At 33.7% G+C, this 21328-nt stretch overlaps 1 protein-coding gene and 1 long non-coding RNA gene across 30 annotated transcripts in view, besides 1 other annotated feature; one reads left to right on the forward strand and one right to left on the reverse strand.

Annotated features, from left to right (window-relative positions):
• CADPS2 (calcium dependent secretion activator 2) overlaps positions 1–21328 on the reverse strand; it is a 568050-nt gene that overhangs the window by 215239 nt on the left and 331483 nt on the right. For all 29 annotated transcript variants that reach the window (NM_001363398.2, NM_001009571.4, XM_047421032.1 and 26 more), the window contains one exon: positions 20901–21040. In NM_001363398.2, the coding sequence (NP_001350327.1) occupies positions 20901–21040 (140 nt within the window). The remainder of the gene's footprint in view (positions 1–20900; positions 21041–21328) is intronic.
• The window catches only part of LOC105375481 (uncharacterized), a 35791-nt gene that overhangs the window by 5918 nt on the left and 8545 nt on the right, over positions 1–21328 (forward strand). Inside the window, exon 3 of the long non-coding RNA XR_001745347.2 lies at positions 9323–9410. This is a non-coding gene — a long non-coding RNA (uncharacterized LOC105375481). The remainder of the gene's footprint in view (positions 1–9322; positions 9411–21328) is intronic.
• Positions 11152–11261: an enhancer, noted in NCBI's record as "active region_26564". NCBI's record gives its function as "activates an Ori minimal core promoter by ATAC-STARR-seq in GM12878 lymphoblastoid cells {active_cell/tissue: GM12878}" and the evidence as "EXISTENCE:reporter gene assay evidence [ECO:0000049][PMID:35858748]".

The following is a 21328-nucleotide window of genomic DNA, read 5'->3' on the forward strand; positions in this document are numbered from 1 at the left end:
ATGCCAATTAACAAATTGCTAACATGTCATGTTAATAAAAAAAGCAATTGACCTAAGTAGAAGAGCTAATTACATGGAGTAAGATAATTAAACGATTCTCAATATGTAATCAAAAATTATGGCTGGAAGTGTTTCACAATGTTGTCTTTTTGTTTTCAAGTATCTGCCTATCTGCAAAATTCTAATCAGTGTATCCATATGCATAAAAGACAGATCCAGTGCAGATGTTAATTTGTTGCATGATAGAAATCAGGTGTTCAATTACAAATAATGGGGTGTATGAGAGAACGTCCAAGATTTCCATTTAGCCGAACGCATGCATCTCTGCTGGCAAATGATTGCAAAGCATTCATATTGGAATTAGCTACTAACATGCACCCAAGGCACATCACATTCAACTCCTTTATTATCCTCATTATATAATATTCACATCTCCAGCTCTGTGTATTACCTAATTTGCCAATGATTTAGGAGTCTGAACATTTGCTGATCTGAATTCTATTTATTGCACCTGAATTCTTTTAAAAGCGTGATTCTGATTTTTATCTAAACTCTAGACAACTTTAATATGAGGGATTTTGTTTCCTAATCTTACATTTAAACAATCAAAATCATTTGCTTTTGTAGTAAGGTAAATTCCTTGAACTGATATGATCAGTTCAAAATAGGCTAAGCTTTTAACATATCAAGACTATTTCAACAATGCCTCCCAACATAGTCTCTAAGTGATATTTCAGCAAAGTAACTACACAGAGGAGAGCAAATATATTTACTAGGCTGAAAGATATTATGCAGATTTGTTTTTCATATAATTCACTACAAAGTCACAGGCTTAAGGCATAGTTATAAATTGAGATATTCACCATGCCAAACTTACAAACTGATACAATTCTGAGATGAGAAATAAATGTCAAACTGATGATGAATTTTATGTCCTAACTCAAGACCCTAATATTTAGAGTTTGTAAATTATTGAGTAAATATAGGCCAGGCCTCAGATAGCCACAGAAGAGATAATTGATTTGATGGCAGATTAACAGTAATGTACATCAATGGAAATGTCATTATTTTTAATAAATGACATGAAGAAAGATTTAAACAGGAAAAAAGTGCATTTTTAATTCCTTTCATTCTCTTATTTCAATGAAATCAATTTCAAAATATGTGAATATCCAAGGTTCCTTAGCCACTAAGAAAAGAAGCAAATACAGTTTCTGAGTATGTGGCAATTAGCAGAACCTCTAAATTATTCAAAAGTAGTAATGGGGAGGGATGTTTCTATAAACCAAAAAATAAAAAATGGTGACTCATGGACCAAATCTGGCTTGCCAATGTGCTTTGAAAGCTGAGCATTTAAAAATATATTTTGAAATCCCTTTTGCAGGACATGTTCTCCTGATTTCTATAATCCTGATACTTCCAGTCCTCATGACTTTTAACCTAATCACTTTACACAAGTATTTGAGTTGCCTGGCCTCTGGTGGTACTTGAGTATCGTGAACTGACAGTGATCACTTAAAGAGAAAAGTATTTTGTATTAGTAGGTGGTGTTGCCTAGCAGTTTAGAGAATAAGCTCTGGAATCAGACAAGTGAGTTCAAATCATGGTCACTTATTAGCTATATGGCTTTGGGCAAATTTCTTAACCTCCTTATGACTCAGTGATCTTGTTTGTAAGTTGGTATCATCATACCTATCACATAGTGTTGTAAGAACTAAATAAGAATATTATTTAATGTGATAGATTCTTCAAATGTATTTAATCTACTATATCTGGATGTCAGAGATGTAAGAAGTCATATGTTTGGATCAGCTTGCTAATTAGAGTAGTAGCTGAGTACTCTAAAAAGGTAATAGTATACCAGATAATAAATATGTTTTATTTTTATAAAGTCTGTTAAAGAACCTTTCCAGTATGTTCACAAGACTTTTACAAAACAGGCATAATTACCAGAATTATCCTATTGATATTGACCACACATTCCTGTAAGAACTAGTAGAGAATATTGCTGTATCATTGATGAAAACAAATATATATTTGGATTTTTGATAATAACTCATGCAAATAGATCTTGTTTTAAAGCCTAATGGCAAGAGTTGTAGATTGATGGGATGATATACTGAGCCCCACATCAGTGAAAGTGACTTGTGTCTCTTGGGACCTTTTAAAACTTTTACAAAAATTCCACTGCGAGTCTTACTCTCACGTTTTCCAATAATACTTTATCAAGCATTTGATAAAGTGAGGATAAAGAAGGATAACAAGACCTTAGAGGAAACCCTAGACTATTAGCACCATATCTACCCAACTGAACTAAGTGGCTGCTGTGAGGCAGTCCTAAACTATCTCCCTACTGGGAAGAGAGACAGAACCTGTAGCATGACAAGGCATCCTTATACAAATTGCCTTTTGTAATTGGGTTTCTCCAAACCTAAATTTTATAATGTAAATTTATCTCCACAGAATAAAGCAAAACAAAACAATATTAGACAAATGATATCCTTTTGCTTTTAAGAAAAATGAATAGTTGTAGAATAGTTATAAATTATAGTTACTGAATAATGAACAGACTAGAAAAATAGAAGTATTTAAGATTATTTATTAGGGACCTGTTAATTGCAAAACAGTGTGTTAGGAATTAAAATGAGGAATTAAAGATGAAAATGACACAGATCATTGCCACAGGACACTTAACGAGTAAGAGAGCTAAGAAAGATACCTTCAGATATAATTAAAAATATATAGTAGAAAGTGCTATAGGATTCTGAAGATGAAAATCTGTTTTGTATCAATTGGGCCCATAAAAGATCAAGGTTACTTCCTACTTTGAGTAGAAATCACATCTGTGAGGATCAATAAGATGAAAAAGTACCCAATCCATTGCATTTCTAAACTAGAAGCTTAATGCTTAATGCATGGAGAAAAAATAAGCACACAAACAGGCGAGAGACCATTTACTGATGAGGGTCAGTAACTGGAGTCTGAAATTTCTACACAGGTGGGTCTTATGGAAAACAATCTTTTTATATGAATGGGATGTCAAGGGGAAAAGAGGGACCTAAAGGATTCTTTTAGCAGTTGAGTTTGCACAGCGCTTTCAGATTCAGAAAACCTCAACTCTCACATCAGAGGTCTGAAAGGGTGCTAATGAAGATTAAGGGACAGGGGGCCTAAGCTCTCAAGCTACCTTGGTCAGACTTGGTCACCACTGGTCAAAATAATTCATTGATGATAGTAATGAAATGCCTGATGAATGAGATTAAGGGAAGCTGATATCTGAAAATACCACATGTTTTCACTTATAAGCGGGAGATAAATGATGAGAACACATGGGCACATAGAGGAGAAGACCACATACTGAGACTTTTTTGAGGGTGGAGGATGGGAGGAGGGAAGAAGATCAGGAAAAATAACTATTTACTAGGCTTAATATCTAGATGATAAAATAATCTGTATAACAAACCTCCATGACAAAAGTTTACCTATGTAACAAACCTACACTTGTACTCCAATCTTAAAAGTGAAAAAAAAAAGACTTTCAAGAAGCATGTATACAACTATTTATCAAAGAAGTATATTTACAACTATTTGTCCTAGGTTGTTTAGATAAGTATCTATGAATGGTAATACAAGCAAAAAAAAAACAAACAAACAAAAAACAAAAGATTATGCTCCAGAGAATACAGAAGCACTACATAACAGAGGAAAAATTCTAAAAGAAAATTATAAAGTGTAATGCTATGATGAAGAAGATTCTTTCTTATGCTAATAGAGAATGAAATTAAAGATAAAACTAGGTGAAAATTTTACACAAAAACTCAACATAAGCAGAAAAAAAGCTCTTTTGAGGTGAAACAACTGCAAAAGAATTAGAAAAAAAACTTTTCCTTGAGTAATAAAATAAAACAAATAAAAACAAAAACAAAAATTTCATATTAAAAACTCAAGGCTATTGGGATATAAGAAATACTGGGAAAAATAAGCTGAATTATTCAACTCAAGGATTTGGAAAAAACACAACCCAACAATCCTAGGGAAATAGAAGAAAGGAAATAATGAAGATTTGGGAGGAAATTAATGGAACTAAGATTTTTTAAGAGAGACGAAATTAATACAAATGTATTAGTCCTTTGAAAAGATTAGTATTGCAGACAAACTTCTGCAGGAATAACAGAAATTAAACAGAATATTTGAAGTGAGAAAAATGAAATAAAAAATAATTTTAAAAAAGGATAAAAACGCAAGAGAAGATTTTAAATAATATTAATAGCTAAATCTAATAATAATCTGGAAAAAAATACTTTCCAAAGGAAAAACTAACATAAAATGCAAAAATTTAAACCGATCAACAATTACTAAAAAACTTGAAATGGCCACCAAAGGTATTCAAAAATACCTCCCCTTACCTCCAACCGAAGTTTCCAATCCAGATATTATTGAAAATACATTTCTAACAAACTCCCAATGACTGAAAAATCCCACTTATACAAATTCAGTAAAAAAAAAAAGAGAAACAAAGTGAAAAAGAGAATGCAAAAAAATTACTGTCCAACTGATTTAATGAGGTTAATATACCTTTGATTCCTAGACTGAAAATCACTTCAGAACAGTGAAGAAAAAAATTATAGACCAATTTAACTTATAAGCAGAGATGTGAAATTTGGCAGTGGAGGTGAATATAAACACACAAGGAGAAGCTTAATTAGGTTTTTTGTTTTTTTTTTTTAAAAACACAAGGAGAAGCTTAATTAGTTTAAAAAAAAAAAAAAGAACATTTACCTTAACTCATTAGCAGTCAGATAAATTGAAGGGTATTATTTAAATTTTATTTAATTTTAAAAAATTTTCGTAACATTTAAATAAAAATATTGTTTTCCATGAATGTAAGGATGTTTTAACACAAAAAAACTCCACCAATATAAATTACTATATTGATAGTTCAAGGAGAAAAATATCATTGCTTCCCCTTACCAGAAAAGCAAAAATTAGAAAGGCCAGTAAAACCAATTTTGGGTAAGGAGATAGGAAAGTACACTGTAAGTAGGAACAGATAATCTGGAAAGCAATCTTGAAATACTTAGTGAAATTAAGTATCTGTATGCCTCATTCCTGATTATACATAGTGGAGAAATTCTTGCACAGGACTGTGAGTGGACATGATCAAGGACAACTACTGGAACACTATTTATAACGATGGGAGTTGGAGACAATTCAGGTGTTTATCATTAGAGGATCAAATAGGTAAAATGTAGTAGACACTGTGGTATGCCAGGTAGTACAAGAAGCAGTGACCTAAAAGAATATATAACAATGAATGTAGGTCTTAAATACTGGATGTTTAATGAAAAAAATTAAATATCTATAGCACAAAACATCAATATTTAACACACACACATACTACACATTTTACAAGGATACACAACATCCATGGCTATATTAACCAATACAAAGTGGATACTGCTATGGTTTGAATGTGTCTCCCAAAGTTCATGTGTCAGACACTTAAAACCTAATGCAACAGTGTTGAGAAGTGGGACCTTTAAGATCACAAAGGACTCTGCCCTCACAAATGGATTAACACCATTATTATGGCAGTGAGATCCTGATGAAATGATGAATTCAGCCCCCCTCTCTCTTTGACCCATGTGACGCCTTTCACCATATTTTAATACAGCAAAAATGCCTTCACCAGATGCTGGCCCCTTAATCTTGGACTTTCCAGCTTCTAAAACTGAGCTAAATAAATTTCTGTTCATTATAAACGACCCAGTCTGTGGTATTCCATTAGAGCAACACAAAATGGACTAAGACAGATACCTATGTGGGCAGGAGCGAAATAAGAGATGGGATCAGAAATGAAATATTTAAGTAAAACAAAAGAGGGGCTGGTGATGGTGAGTCATTAAAAGAGAAATAACAGTATTCAATGCTCTGTGCTCCAAATCCTAAGGAAAACAAAAAGGCAATCAAGGTAAATCCATCAACAGCCTTTGTAACCAATGTAATTGTGTACCAGTCATAAAGGGAAAAAAATGAGTATTTAGAATGTTGTAAATTTAAATGTAAATCTTATAACTCTGCCTGTCTGTCCCTCTCTCTCTGTCTCTCTCTGTCTCTGTCTCTCTCTTTCTGTTTCTCTCCATCTCTCTTTGTCCATCTCTGTCTTTCTGTCTCTCTCTTTCTTTCTTTAGTAAAGCATGCTTTAATTTTATGCAATAATCATATGAAGAAAAACATTTTTTCACCTTTTTTTTCCATTTTCCTAATGTGTCCTTAATCTTCATAAAACTTCAACTGATGATTTTAGGTAACCATATGTTCAAAATGTTTCAAGTCACATTTTATATTTAATATATTTACTCTTTTGTGTTAAGTTTACTGTTTAAGCTCATTTCAAGTACATGTCATTTTCAGTTAATTTATTTTAGCTGCGTATTTGAGATTTAGTCTAGAATTTTAAAAGTCCACTGAATCATGACTACATTACAAGTTTCCATGTGGTATCAACAGAATTTATAATTCATATATGACATTATACTCATGTTGGCATCATTTACAAAAGAAGATTTTCCCTGAACTGTAATAAATGCTAAAACTAAAAAATTTAGAATACCGATACCCCAGAAATCTGAAAGCAATTTAGGACTTTAACTTAGTATTATAGTAATTTAAAAGGAATACTAAGTTTTAAAATACTGTGAATTCCATTTTTCAAGTTGAATAATCCAATAAAAAATTAAATGGTATCAAATTAAAGAAACATTTAAAGTTTTATGATTGTTAACCTTTCTTAACCATAGATCATTTTAACAAAGTCTGTTGTGGGTATGCTCCTCAATTTGGAACTAAATTTATATCTCGGCTCTTACAAATATTCAAACTAATTATTTCAGAATAAATGTAGAATGACACTTTAATTAGTAATGTATCTCCTGGCAATTAAAATTCTCTTGCTTCTCTCAGCAATTAAAACGGCAAGGCATATTATTAAGGTCCCACAATTCTTCATACCTCTTCCTGACAATTACCATGGGAAACATTAAAGACAAGATTGTAGTTATAATCCATTCACTGAATATTTGGTAGCAGGATAAACACTTTCTTCTTTCTTCTCCTTGTCTAGTAATTTTTCATTTCACTCATAATACCTATCAATCATTAACGCAATTTGTGCTCTGTATCACAAAGTTCCAGTTTTCATTTTATATGACTTATAAAAACCAATTGATTTTATAGAAATGTAAGTTATAGCAATGATTTTAATTAAGAAATAATTTTTAACCCATTTATTCATAATATGACTTTTACGGTCTGAACACTATAAATACATAGAGAGTACTTAATGCTGGCAGAAAATGTTAGTGTTGGAAATAGAAAATGTCTAAAATTACTGTAAATTGAGTATGTTAATATAACAAAGATATACACACAGAGAAACAAAAATATGTGCACCAAATAGGTGATACTGTGGTTCAGAATGAAATAGAAAAAGCAGCACTTTTAACTTTCATATACCTAAGAATATTTTTTAAACTGGTATTATGAGATGATTTTTTTTTTTTTTTTTGAGACGGAGTCTCACTGTTGCCCAGGTTGGAGTGCAATGGTGTGATCTCGGCTCACTGCAACCTCCACCTCCTGGATTCAAGCAATTTTCCTGCCTCAGCCTCCCGAGTAGCTAGGATTACAGGCGCCCACCACCACACCCAGCTATTTTTTTTTTTTTTTGTATTTTTAGCAGAGATGGGGTTTTACCATGTTGGTCAGGCTGGTCTTGAACTCCTGGCCTCAGGTGATCCGCCCGCCTCAGCCTCCCAAAGTGCTGGGATTACAGGCATGTGTCATTGTGCCCAGCCAATTTTTGTTTTTTTTTTTTTATGCTTCTCTTATAATTCCATTTTTCTGTAATGAATATACATATATTCATATATATTTATATATTCATATATATTTATATATTCACATATATCCATATATATTTTCATATATTCATATATATTCATATCTTTATATATTCATATATGTTTATATATTTATTCATATATGTTTATATATTCATATATTTACATATATTCATATATATTTATTCATATATTTACATATATTCATATATTTATATATTCACATATATTCATATATTTATATATTCATATATATTTATATATTCATATGTTTATATATTCATATGTTTATATATTCATATATATTTATATATATGCATATATATTTATATATATTCATATATATTTATATATTCATATATATTTATATATAACTATTGCAACAGAAGAATATCTAAAAGTTACATGGAATATATCATATGTGTAATAGTAGCATAAAATCAAATCATCATTTATTTGTAAATCATAAATTATCTATTGTGTAATGATAACAGCTAAAATGGACAGCTAACAACGTGCCAGGCAATGTTTTAGTCACTTTAGTGATACTAGTTCATTTAATCCTTACAGCATCATTTTGAAATTGGTGATTGTCATATTCAATTTTACAGGGGAAGAAGGGAGGCACAGGGAGGTTAAGTAACTTGCCTTAAGATCACACAGTGATGAGGCTATAATTGGCATGCTGGCTGCAGACTCTAGGAACTACAATTAAGCTGTCCTACTATGATATTACACTATCCTTTAGTAAATTTTAATTATGTATTAACATTTCATTATTCATATATATTACTACAAACACACCTAACACTCTCGTTCTCTCAGATATGATAGTAAGTCAAATGGCTAAATCTTTGGGTAAACAACACATGGTTTTCTATAACTAAGTGCAAGTTTGGGAAGGTATTATTAGCAGATTCTATTAAATGTTCATAACTTTCATTTTAAGATCAAGGGAAAGGCTAAACAAATGGGAACTTGTCTTTCTATAAATAAAACATGCATATTTGTGTCCAATGGACAAATAGATATTGTGGAGGATAACTTTATCTATATTCTTTGCAGTATTTTCAACTGTAACATTACTTTCCTGTTTTATTGTAGCTCTCTGATTCATTTTAATGTTTTACACATTTCAGGTTCAATCCTCATTCACTTTATTCATTATTTTTTTTTCTGCCCTGTTCATCATAGTCTACATCAGTCTAGAATCTCTCTGATCACTCCGGTTTTATCATCTTCCCTTTTACAGTTTTTCACATTTCATAAGAGGAGTTAAGCCCTTTCTATTCTTAAATGCATTCCATGTTTAATAAACATCCATAAACACATACAGTTCTCACAACCACTACCAACAAAGACAGTATTTTTCAGTTACTGTTCTCAAATAATCATTTTATATTTGTTCTTTCCCTGACTAGGGTGACCAATGAAAATTCCATCTAAGTGACTTGGGGCAACACTATCATGTATAGTGTTAATATACATTAACACTCAAGGAAGAATAAAGTAAGTTATTTTTTTTTAATAATCTGTGAATTCTGGTATAAGGATATTTTGGAAACAGCTTCAAGCTACCAGTTAAAATAGATTCTGTGAACCCCTTATTTATGGTATCTTTCCAAATGGATGCCAAAGTCATGGAAGAAGCAATTAATATCTAACAGTACACTACACTTTTTACATATGATTATGCTGTGTTTTGCCAGCTTAAACTGTTTTCAATTTTACAGTTTTAAAAATTTTCTAGTCTATGCTATTTGGTTAACAGCTGTTCCATTTCAGTGGGGCAAGTAATTAGCTCTACTGTATCTAATGCATTACTCTTGATGGTTTTTTAAGTATCACTATTATTACAGCAAATTTCACTCATTCACTCATTTGAGTCTGACACATAGTCTCAATAAATTTACTCATTTATTGAGTCTGACACATCAATAAACATGTGTTGAATAACTGATTTGATGAAATCAAGCATGCATTCAGTGCTTGGTCAAATAATGGTGAACAATAAGGTCCAGCCCACAAGAAGTTGATCTGAGCTGGTGAGACAAATAGGAGGGTGGATGTTATAATTTTATAGTAGGGAGTATTCAAGATTATCTGGGAACACAATTTGGGATTCCCAAGTCAGTCTGTGATGGAAAAATGAAAAATATCAAGGGAATTTTCATATTGTCTCTTAATCTGAAATTCTGAACAATCAAAAGTATATAAAAATCAACCAATTATCAGACGATAATGTGTATCCACTATGTTCTGAAGCATTTGGACTAAGTAATGAAATAAGAGTCAGGATCTCTGCCTTCAAGAGACAATAATATAACTATAAACAAAAACATGTGAAAAGTATCAAAAGAAGGCAGTGGATGGTAAAAGCCAAAAAAAGAGAAGAACTGAAAGATCTTATATATTGCTGGAAGAAATGTATACTGGTAGAACTATCTAGTAAAACTTGAAAAAGTTTTGTATTATCTTGTAAAGATAAACATTCACATTCTTACGAGCTCAGCAGTTCCACTCCTACGTGTCCACTCAAGAGAAACTATGCATATATATACCAGGAGACATGTACAAGAATGTTCACAGTAGCAATACATGAAATAGCAAGAATCTTGAATGATTCAAATGTCCATTTTGATGAAATGGATAAAGTACAGTATGTTTGTAGCAAGCCATATTGTGCAGGAAAGATTATATATATGCACAAATAAATGTATAGATCAATGTGACATACATCATGGGCTAAGGATTATGATTAATCCAGCTCCATGCATTTGATGTATAATAGAAAAAATAAATTGAATAGGATTTTGTAAGACAAGAGTGCACAGTATCTAACCTTTGCTGTATAGCATACTGCCCTAAAACCTCGTGACTTAAAACGACAACGATTTATTATTTCTTATGAGCCTATAGTTTATTAAGCAGTTCTATTGACCTGAGCTGGGCAGGCCATGACCAACTCGTGGGTCTGTGGTCAGTTTCACGCTGGCTAGCTGGCTTTGTTCATTTCATCTGGACTCATTCATATGCCTGAAACCCAGGTCAGCACAACTAGGCTGATTTAGTTCTGCTTTACCAGTGGGCTAGCCCATGTGTGTCCTCATGGTGAAGGAAGTGAGCAAGAGAGGAAGTGAAAATGCACATGTGCTTTTTGAAGTATATGCTTATGTCAAATCTGCTTCTGTCTCAGGGACCAAAGCAAGCCACATAGCCAAACCCAAAGTTGGAGGGGACAAGAAAGATTTAGGGCACAAGGTATGAATTTAGGAAGCCTGTTTATTGGTTCTATTTATGTGATCAACCTACCATACGTACAAATAACTTTGTAATTCACTTATCTCCCCCTTTAATATAGCAAAGGGCAAGTCTGGCTGACTTAATCAAAAATTTTACTAAGTAAGGTCCTAGACAGCCAGAAAAAAGGAAGAAAGTCCATTCTTCTGGTGTCTGTAGGCTGTGGTAAAAAGTAAAGAGACGGAATAGGGAACACAGGTGGTTGAGAATGCCTTGGGTAGAAGGGCTTCTGCCCCACCTCCCATTCCAGATTCTCTTGTGCAGCTTGTAAGGTAACAAATGTGGAGTAATCTTCATGAGGCAGAGGGAGGGCCAGCATCTCTTTCGATTATCTTGGTATAAAAAAGACTCAATAGTTCTCTCAAAAATCAAGGGAGTGGGGACAAGATGGCTTGCAGTTAGCGGAGAGTCTGCTTCTGAGGAAACATTAGTTACACAGAAAATAAACTGCCTCTCTTGGCACATATGTATGAGAAAATGTGTAACCTGGTACTAGAGTGGCAGGATTTGGTAAAAGAGTGAAAGAAATAGATTTGAGCAAATAAAAGCATGCTCAGGGTACATGAACTGATCCACTTGGCAAAGTTAGGAGTTCGTGTTGGGTATAAAATCTAGACGAACCAGATTTTTGAAGAATCTGAATGCTAGCTTAAAGGATTTGCATCTAATCCCACAGGCACTTGGGAAGCAACTGAATTTTTTTTTTAGTAGAGATATAATTGTATTCCTAAATTCCTAAATGGTGTGGAAAATGGGAACATCGTAGAAAAGTCCTTGAACAAGTTTTGTTTGTTAGGATGGAGACTGAATTAGGGTTGGCAGAAGGAATAAAAAGGGATTTAGTTGTGGGAAGTACTACAGAGAGATAGAGATTAACTAATGTCAGTGAAGAGGAAGTTGTAAATTGAAGATAAACCTAAAGATCAATCGAACTGACAGAAAAGATGAGGCTGCCAGTTTCACAAAGGTGGAAATAGGTGGTATTCAACTTTTCTTTGATTGACCTGTGGACTACTGTTATATCCTTCTAATCCACTGTCAAAACCATGTTTTGAAATGTGTTTTAGAAGTATTAATATTGATACGTAAAATAACCAGAGGCATTAAAAATACATTTGTATTTTTTTAAGTAACAAGCCGATCTTTTTTTAAATCATGAGAATAAGATGTGCTTTTCTCTTCTGAATTACTAATGTACTAACCTTAAGGATATAAATGAATGCAGGATGAATACTTAGAAATATAATGTTTGTAAACCCTTTCCTCTGTTCATGTCATCGACACTGGTATTAATGTTAAAATTGTGGTGATGTTTCTTTTTATAATCTGAACACACATCTATCACGCTAAAGCAAGTTCATTGTATAATCTTCCCCAGTATTGTTTACTTATGATTTTCAAGTGCTTCAGATACAGTCTACATAGGGGGCTGTGGCCGTGATATTATACCCTATTAACAACGCCCCATTCAAGTAAGTTCTAGTTATGATTATATAGAGAGGAGTAGGAATACTCTTTAGGACCCTTATACCCGTATGTTAACATCTATGGAAAGAATGCCAAAATTAAATACACTAATAGACAAGCTTGGACTACTTTTGAAGAGATTCCTTTTCATCATTCCTGTATTTTTAGGCCATGTCCTATCCTTTGCTATGTTCCATAAACACTCATTTTCTCCTCTTTAGACCTCTGCTGATCTTAAGCTTTTTCCTTCCTTTTTTCAGGGACTTTCAAGTAAGGCCAGCTTTGCTGCCATATGCTGTACTTTTGCTGCTATTGCCCTTCACTACTGCCATGTATGATGCTTTCTGGTTTATGTAACCTTCTGCTCCTAAGTTTCATCCCGACTTTGGCCCACTGCCATGCTCTGACTCTGAAATCTTTGCAAGTCTTGGTACTGTCAGCCCATGCTTTTGCTTGCTTAGTCCATTCCTCTCCGTATACAGTCTAGGACTCTTCCTGCCTGTCTCATCATTAAAACACTGGTTCCTTGTATATTTCTCCTCATTCTTGTCAGCTGTTGGGGAAAATATTTTCATGAATTATTTTTGAGCCTATCTAAATGTGAAAAAAAAGTGTACACCAAATAGAATTGACAGAATAAATACTGAAATAAATATAGCATGACTATTCAAATTCAGGGGTCACTGTAGCAGAAAGAAAGCAAATTACTTTTATTTAGTCCATAAAGATAATATGAACGAAGCTCAAATCTAGGGTGTTTTTTTTTTGCCTTTAATTTTTATAAGTATTGGTTACATAATACATCATTCTTACAAATTAAAACATATTAACCCTGGGGTATACTCTACCCACAAGAAATGTTGCTAAAACTTCTTCCTACAGTTCAACCACAGGGATGGTCTAAGAATAAATGTTGACAGGCAACAAGCCTCCCTGCAGACAGTAATTAATTTCAATTTAAAGTTTTGGGGAAATAATATATTTCTTTTTAATACAGTCTTTAGATTTATAGTCAAATTTAAATTTGTGAAAAAAGGAGACTTCCTGTAATTCTTCTGGGGCAATAATGTTTTGAAACACACTCCAACAAATCCACCTTACAGTGGTACCAATTAGATAATTTGAAGTTAATATCCAAACAATCAGTCCACTTACAACTGTGAGCATAATTTCTGCATTCTATTCTTTTCTAAAAAAAATTCATCAATTCAACAAATATTTGTTTAGCTTCTACTAAATACTAGGCAATGTTCTAAAAATTGGGTTTAAAAATAGCAAGTGAGACAAGGTTCCTATTCTATGGCAATCAAATTTAGTTGGGAAGCTAATCAATAGCAAATTACACCATGGCAATAGCATTCTAGTTGAGGATACAGTTAATAAACAATAAATATCACACAGATAATAAGAGCTTAAAAAAAAGAATGAAGCCAGTTAAAAGTAGAATTGGAAGCAGAGAGAGAAGGGTTCTTTGTAGGGTGAACAGGATGGGCTGCTGTAGAGACAGCACCTGATAAGAGACAGAAGAAACAGAGGAAGTGAGTACTATGAGCATTCTAGAGTAGAGCTGGCAAAGGTCTTTAGAATGCTAATTTCAATGACACTAGTCTCTCTCACTGATTCTTTCCACAAAACATTTAATTAGGCTAATTATACAATCACATGAATGTCTTGAGTGTGATGGTAACTACAAAATAAAAGTCATGTAGACAGTAAGTATTGAGTCAGCTGTTTAGGTTTATCAATCCCTCTTCAAATAAAGCAATTTAGCTGGGTGTGGTGGCTCACACTTGTAATCTCAGCACTTTGGGAGGCTGAGGAAGGAGGATCACCTGAGTCCAGGAGTTCAAGAACAGCCTGGGCAATATAGGGAGACCCCATCTCTATAAAAATTTTTTTAAAAAAACTAGTCAGGTATGGTGGCACACACCTGTGGTCCCAGCTACTCACGAGGCTGAGATGGGAGGGTCACTTGAGCCCAGGAGGTGGAGGCTGCAGTGAGCTCTGTTCACACCACTGCACTACAGCCTGGGAGACAGGATAAGACCCTGTCTAAAAAATTTTTTTAAATTAAAATAAAAATGAATCACACATAAAACTATAACTAAAAATAAACAAAAACAACCTGAGATGAAATTAAAACTAACTCACCTGGTATGTAAATCTAATGAGATCAACAATGTATCATAAAACTTGACAAATTTTAATATCACAACTAGCAAGATTTGATAGACTGGTAGAGCTATATGGATCAAATCATACTTATTTAATGATTTAAGCAAGAAAATTACAAGTTAAACTAGCAAATTGTAGTAAAACATACAATGAGCACCACCAGTTATTTAAAAAGTGTTAGACAGCATTAGACTGAAATAAAGTGAAAGTGCTTTCTTATTCCTCTCACTTGCCATGAAATAATCTCCAGATGCTCTTTATTTTTAGAACCTGAGCTTATTTCTTAGATAAATCACTCAAGTCAGTTGCTCAGACATGGTTCAAAGCCCTTATGTAATATTTTCATTTTTCTCCCTTGGACATAGAGAGAAGACAAAATAAAGTTAGCAGAAAAATAAACACACAAAGAGCAACGAACTACCATATCTACATCCATAATAGCTGTCAAATAAAAATGTAAATTAAAGTCTAACAATTAAGCAAAGGACCTAATAGGGATATAACTGTTATACTCTCAATGAATTAATGATGATTTGTACATTTCTATTTTTCTCATTTGTCTTCAAGCATTTTCTTTTGAATAAAGTCAAATGATGTGGTTAAAACTTGAAGAATATCATAAGGCCGAGCACAGTGGCTCACGTCTGTATTTCCAGCACTGTGGGAGGCTGAGGCAGGAGGATCGCTTGAGTGCAGTAGTTTGAGTCCAGCCTGGGCAACATAGCGAAACCCTGTCTCTACCCTGTCTCTAATACAAAAAAATTGGGGATTGATAAACCTAAACAGCTAACTCAATACTTACTGTCTACATGACATTTATTTTGTAGTTACCACTGCACTAATTAATACAAAAAAATCAAGGATTGATAAACCTAAACAGCTGACTCAATACTTACCGTCTACATGACTTTTATTTTGTAGTTACCATCGCACTCAAGACATTCGTGTGATTGTATAATTAGCCTAATTAATACAAAATTTAGCCAGGTGTGGTGGTGCATGCCTGTAGTCTCAGCTACTTGGGAGACTGAAGTGGGAGGACTGCTTAAGCCTAGGAGGTGGAGGTTGCAGTGAGCGGAGATGGTGCCACTGCAATTCAGCCTGGGCGACAGAGTGAGACTCTGTCTTAAAAAAAAAAGATTAGTATTAATTAATATTATTATTATTATTATAGTTCAAGGGACTCAAGTAGGATTTCGGTGAAATCAGGATAAGCCAGGCTGGGCCAAGTTCAACCTGGGAATGCAAGTAGACCTACACATACATACATACATAGGTTCAAGTCAAGGTCAGATGTCGAAACATAGTTATTTTAGACAAGGACACAGGGGAAAGTCATTCTAAAAGGTACATTTAAAAATGAAATATCAATTTGCTTTGTGAAAGAACAGACTTGGCTTTGTTTAAAGCCTGGACTCTTTGAGCAAATACTACCTCGACGCAGCTAAGATTTTCCTCCCCTAAATTAGTTGGAGATCATAAACCCTGAATAATAATCTAAACAATGAAACTTTACTAGAGTGCAGTCATTTCACTTTATGAGGAAATACAATGTCTGAATATTTAGTGTGTGAATGCAGTTTATGTAGGCATGCTGTCCCAACCTCTGGATGCCCAGCTGGCCCTCTCTCTGGGAAATGGTGGGGCCACAAAGCAGCCGGTGTGGGGCTTGTCTCGTTTTTCTGCTGGAAGTTTAACTATTGTCTCTCCTTGCAACAAGAGATGAGCCCAATGCCTTTTCTATCTTTATGATGGAAATTAAACTACAGAGTTTTATCTGTGACAATGTCAAAATATTTTAATCCATCCGTTCATTCAACAAAATGTGTAAATAGCCAAGCATGACTCTACACAAAGAGAAATATGAGATTCATCTCAGAGTAGTTTTGCTAAAATTTTATCTTACCAATTAGAAACTATGATAAAAGTCTTCTATTATAGTTATATAGTTACGAAACTCTATTTTTACTATAAAAGTAATCAGTTGCATGCAGACTTCTCATAGATCATGGTCATAATGCTTCCACATATTTGTGAAAGCCAATTTTCTCTTTTTCAGTTATAGATTTAATTGTCATAACAGTCATTTATTAGTTCCATTTTATTTTACTTTTTTTGGTTGAGAAAGTAACCTTTGAATTAGGAAAATAATTTTATTTAATAAAAACAGGAATAGTTATTTGAGTTTTAAGTTAATACTGTTACTTAGCCACTAGGCTATGCTAAGGTATAGCCCATTTGTTCAAGAACACTTCTATCTTCATGCTACAGACACACACACACACACAAACCAGGAAAATAAATTCAAAAGCTGGATGTGAATCATTTAACCATTCAAAACATAGCTGGTAATTTGTTCAATAGATTTATCTAAGGGTTAGTTTCTATAATTAGTTTAGATGACATATTCCAAAAGAATAAATAAACTCAAGTTTTTGCTAAATATACGTCTTGTGGTAATGCCCAGTTTGGTTTTAAAAGGATGGAATCATAGTTATGCTTATTTGATCCAAATTAAATATCTATTTTCATTTACATGTAGTTAGTCCTACTTAAATAAACTATAATATATAGTCGTGGACTGATTAGTTATCAGAAACATGAGCTTTAGATTGGATGCATTTTACCTTCTGGTTTAAAAAAATAGTCATATTAAAATGCAACATTGAGAACTAAACACCATTTATTTCATTTATTTTAGGCATTTTTTTACATTAAAATTATGTTCTATTCTCAATAAACTGTGTTTAGAATCTTTTAAGGTTCCATTTGTGAATAAAGCTTACTCTCATTTGTATTACTTTTCCCTTAATACTCTAGGGAGCACAATATTACATTTTCACCATCATTATTCACATTAATATCTATCTCTGATTATACACTGTGGGAGGCATTGAGAATTCAAATAGGTCTAAGAAACTTAGAGTACAGTTGAGAACACACAGAAAAATATAAATAACATTGATAAAAATATTTTTTAGGGGCCATAGATAAGTGATAAATGAATAAAACAGAGAATACATGTTACAATAGTTCACGCAAGAAAGATCTATTTGACGTCCACATTATTAAAACAGAGAATAGGTTTTTACTACTGAAGTCCTAAAGATTTCAAAGTCTAAAGTGCTCTGAAGATAAAAATCCATTATCCTCCAATTTATTTTTAATCCACCTAACAACTCTATCTGTAACAGGAGTTTGCTATATTTTAAAGATAAATTAATATTTTTAAAACTTGACTTGTCTCTCAAAATTATTATCCATCTGTTAATTATTGATTATAGGAGAAATGATTGACAAAACACGATCCAGGCCCAAAGCGAAATGCTATTAATCTACTATTCCTGTTATGTTATTGCTTTGGTGTATGATGGAATACTTGGAAGAAAAAGATTAACTTACTTTCTCTTCTTAAATGTAATTAAGTGCAGTAAAATCCATTGATGAAGTACCTCAGAAAAAGACGAATATAGCTATGCTGTAGGTGAAATGTTTGCCAATACATGTTTACACACAGGTGTATTATTCAAAATGTTTAAAACTGTTACCACATGGGTACTGAGAAAACAGAACAGATGCTTAGGTTAAAGCACCTCTAACTGTCCCTGTCCATAGGGAGCAATTACTATTATAGCATTGCTGAAAATGTTTAATTCTTCTAATATTAGTATTAAAATATTTTAATTGAACCACTATTTTGGAATATGATATTCTTAATTCTGCTACATAACACACTATCTTAGCATAACATCATCACAGATAATTTTCAGTTCTAACATTGCTTCAATGTATACATCAGAAACTGAAGAGATATTTAAATATCTGGAAATGCCTGTATCTCTTAGCAATGTTAGATAATTGGGCTATGAGGCATTTCTGGTCCGTGTCCTTCAGTGAGTTCCTGAGCTTTATGGATTAAATTAAGAGACGATGATATATCCTCTTTAGTCTTTTCCTTCACCTTTAGTCTTGGGCAGAAGGCAATTGCAGGCCTTTCTAGGGGTACTGATTTAGTCAAAGAGATGTGATAAAAACATACCCTACCCCCAAATCAAGCCTTGTAAGGGGTCTGGATTGTCTCACCTATCCTGGAGTATGCTAAACCAAGGAACTGCCAGGTAAGAGCAAGGGTTTCTTCCCACTGGAGCTAAAGGTTACAGGACCTGCCCTATGCATGTTCAGTCTTTGTTCTTGAGACAAGCTGAAGGTCCAGGAGTATTCACCATGGCATAGTACTGGCCATGGGTAAATTAGGGTCATCTCGGCACTATGATAGGTTCCTGTTTTTTTTTTTTTTTTTTATTATTGTGCCATTCATCAAAAGAAAAAGGGACTGAGTGAAAAAGGGTAGAGAAACAACTGCAGTTCCTGGAACATACTGTGTTCTTTTATGTGTAACTCTACTAGTCTCTAAGCACTTTAGAGCACTAGCACTCTCTCTAGTCTCAAAGCACTCTATGACAGTTTCACTGAACTTGTCATCATCAGCTAAAACTCCTTCCAGGACTCCCTGCCTTTGTACATGCTGTCATGTAGCTGGAATGCCAGTTCTCCCACTGTCTACCTGATAAATTTATCCTTCAAGTTTTATCTCAAAAGTCAGGTGTCCTGTGAGACTTTCATTCACTATACCTGGCAAAAATCAGGTATTATTTCTCCCAGGTTCCCATTTCTGTCTTACAGCACTTATCACTATCATAATTATTTGCATACAAGTCTGAATTCCTGACTAGCCAGTTCCTATAGGCCTGCAATAATATCACATTAAAGTTTGTCCTAGTTGGAAGACAGTAGTGCTCAATACATGCCTGCTGCATAAATTACTGGTGAGCAGGTAGATGGATGCATGAATTAAATATTAAATCCCAGATACTCCATGTGCATTATAATCTGAGTCATAGTTAGACTTGACTTTACATTACTACATTAAAGATGCATAATGTTGTTTATCCAAATCATGGTTCCATTTCTAAGAGCCCACCCTCTCATGTACTTTTTCCCTTTGGTGAGGTCTGTTCTGACACTGCACATGCTGCCTACTAAACCAAAAAGCAATACAGTCCTTAGCACCATCCCAACTGTAATGTATACCTTGGGTTTCCCCCTGCCCAGAGCCTAACTTTGTTTCCCCTAATGGTCATCTAAAGAATCCTCCTCATTTTTTGAATCATCAGTTCGCTCCACCCTGATGTTAGTGATTGGGCCCTAATGCCAGCAGACTCTGCTTGTTACAAGGATGCACTTTCTTAGACCTCTATGTCTGTTGCTACTAACTCAGGGTAAGCCACTTCAACAACTGCTTTTCTCCATAGTAAGAAAAATGGCCCCTTTTCTTTCCTAATGGCTAATACCCCTATGCTGGGATTTGGCCATAGTAAGTCCAAAGTGTTATTCTGAGGAAGTCCTGGATTTTTGGCAATTCATTTTATTCAAGAGTTCAGACCTGTTTCATCACCAGCTGCAACAGACAAAGAACCTTGGCAGAGATGAAGGCTGACTCTGACCCCTGGTGATCCCCAGGAGACAGTCCCTGCATTTCTTCCCCAGGCAACAGTAGCAGTTTTCTCCAATATTGATTCAATTCTCACTCACATGTTTGGATCAACACTCATATCCCTCTTGTTAAAATGTATATAGCCTCGTTGGGTTACATCTACACTATGTTTTAGTTTTTATACAGTCTATGGAAGTTTAACTATTTCTAGGAACCTCAATGCTAAGCTTGTTTCAACTATTATTGTAATTTGAAGAATGTTTCTTAGAAGGTATCAGTGCCCTGGTGCCCTGTATCAATATGACTGATGAGTAATACTAACACAATCAAGTTCCAATATCGTGGTAGCTCGCATACAGTTATCTTAACTAAGGACTCATGTATTGAGCTATAAAGCCGTCTATGGGTATAAAAACATTGAGTAAGATAACTTACGTATGTCACTTTTTGAGAAAACTCCATGTGAAAGCCTGCTATACTGGTTCTCTCACTAAACTGACAAAAATAATACACTGAAATGAAATTCAATAATTCAGGAAAAAAATCCTCAAATTTATACTCACCCACTATGCTTCATATGTGCTGGTTTATCCATTCGCACTGCCAGTTTGATTTTTAAGTCAGAATCCTGGCTATTTTTTGGAACTACCATTCGGTGTAATTCAGCTGATTTGGAGCTATTAGAAGTTGGGTATAATATCACCTGTATGGAAAAAAAAACCCACATTTAAACGCATGATACGGAGTGTCTATGGGTTGGAACTAAAATATTTTCTATGTTTTCCTGTTTGAAAAAATGATGTCAACACCCAAATGTATCCAATAAACAATTTGACTCCCTACTACAATAGCTGATGGATTTTCAATACAGACTCAATTTATTTTTTTGACAAATATGTGTTTTCACATTATCACATAATGAGTTTTCTTCCTGTGTCACTTCATAACGAATTAATAGCACAACAAGCCACAGTTGAATTGACGTTGAAAA

Source organism: Homo sapiens, chromosome 7, assembly GCF_000001405.40.
Source record: "Homo sapiens chromosome 7, GRCh38.p14 Primary Assembly".
Classification (NCBI taxonomy): domain Eukaryota; kingdom Metazoa; phylum Chordata; class Mammalia; order Primates; family Hominidae; genus Homo; species Homo sapiens.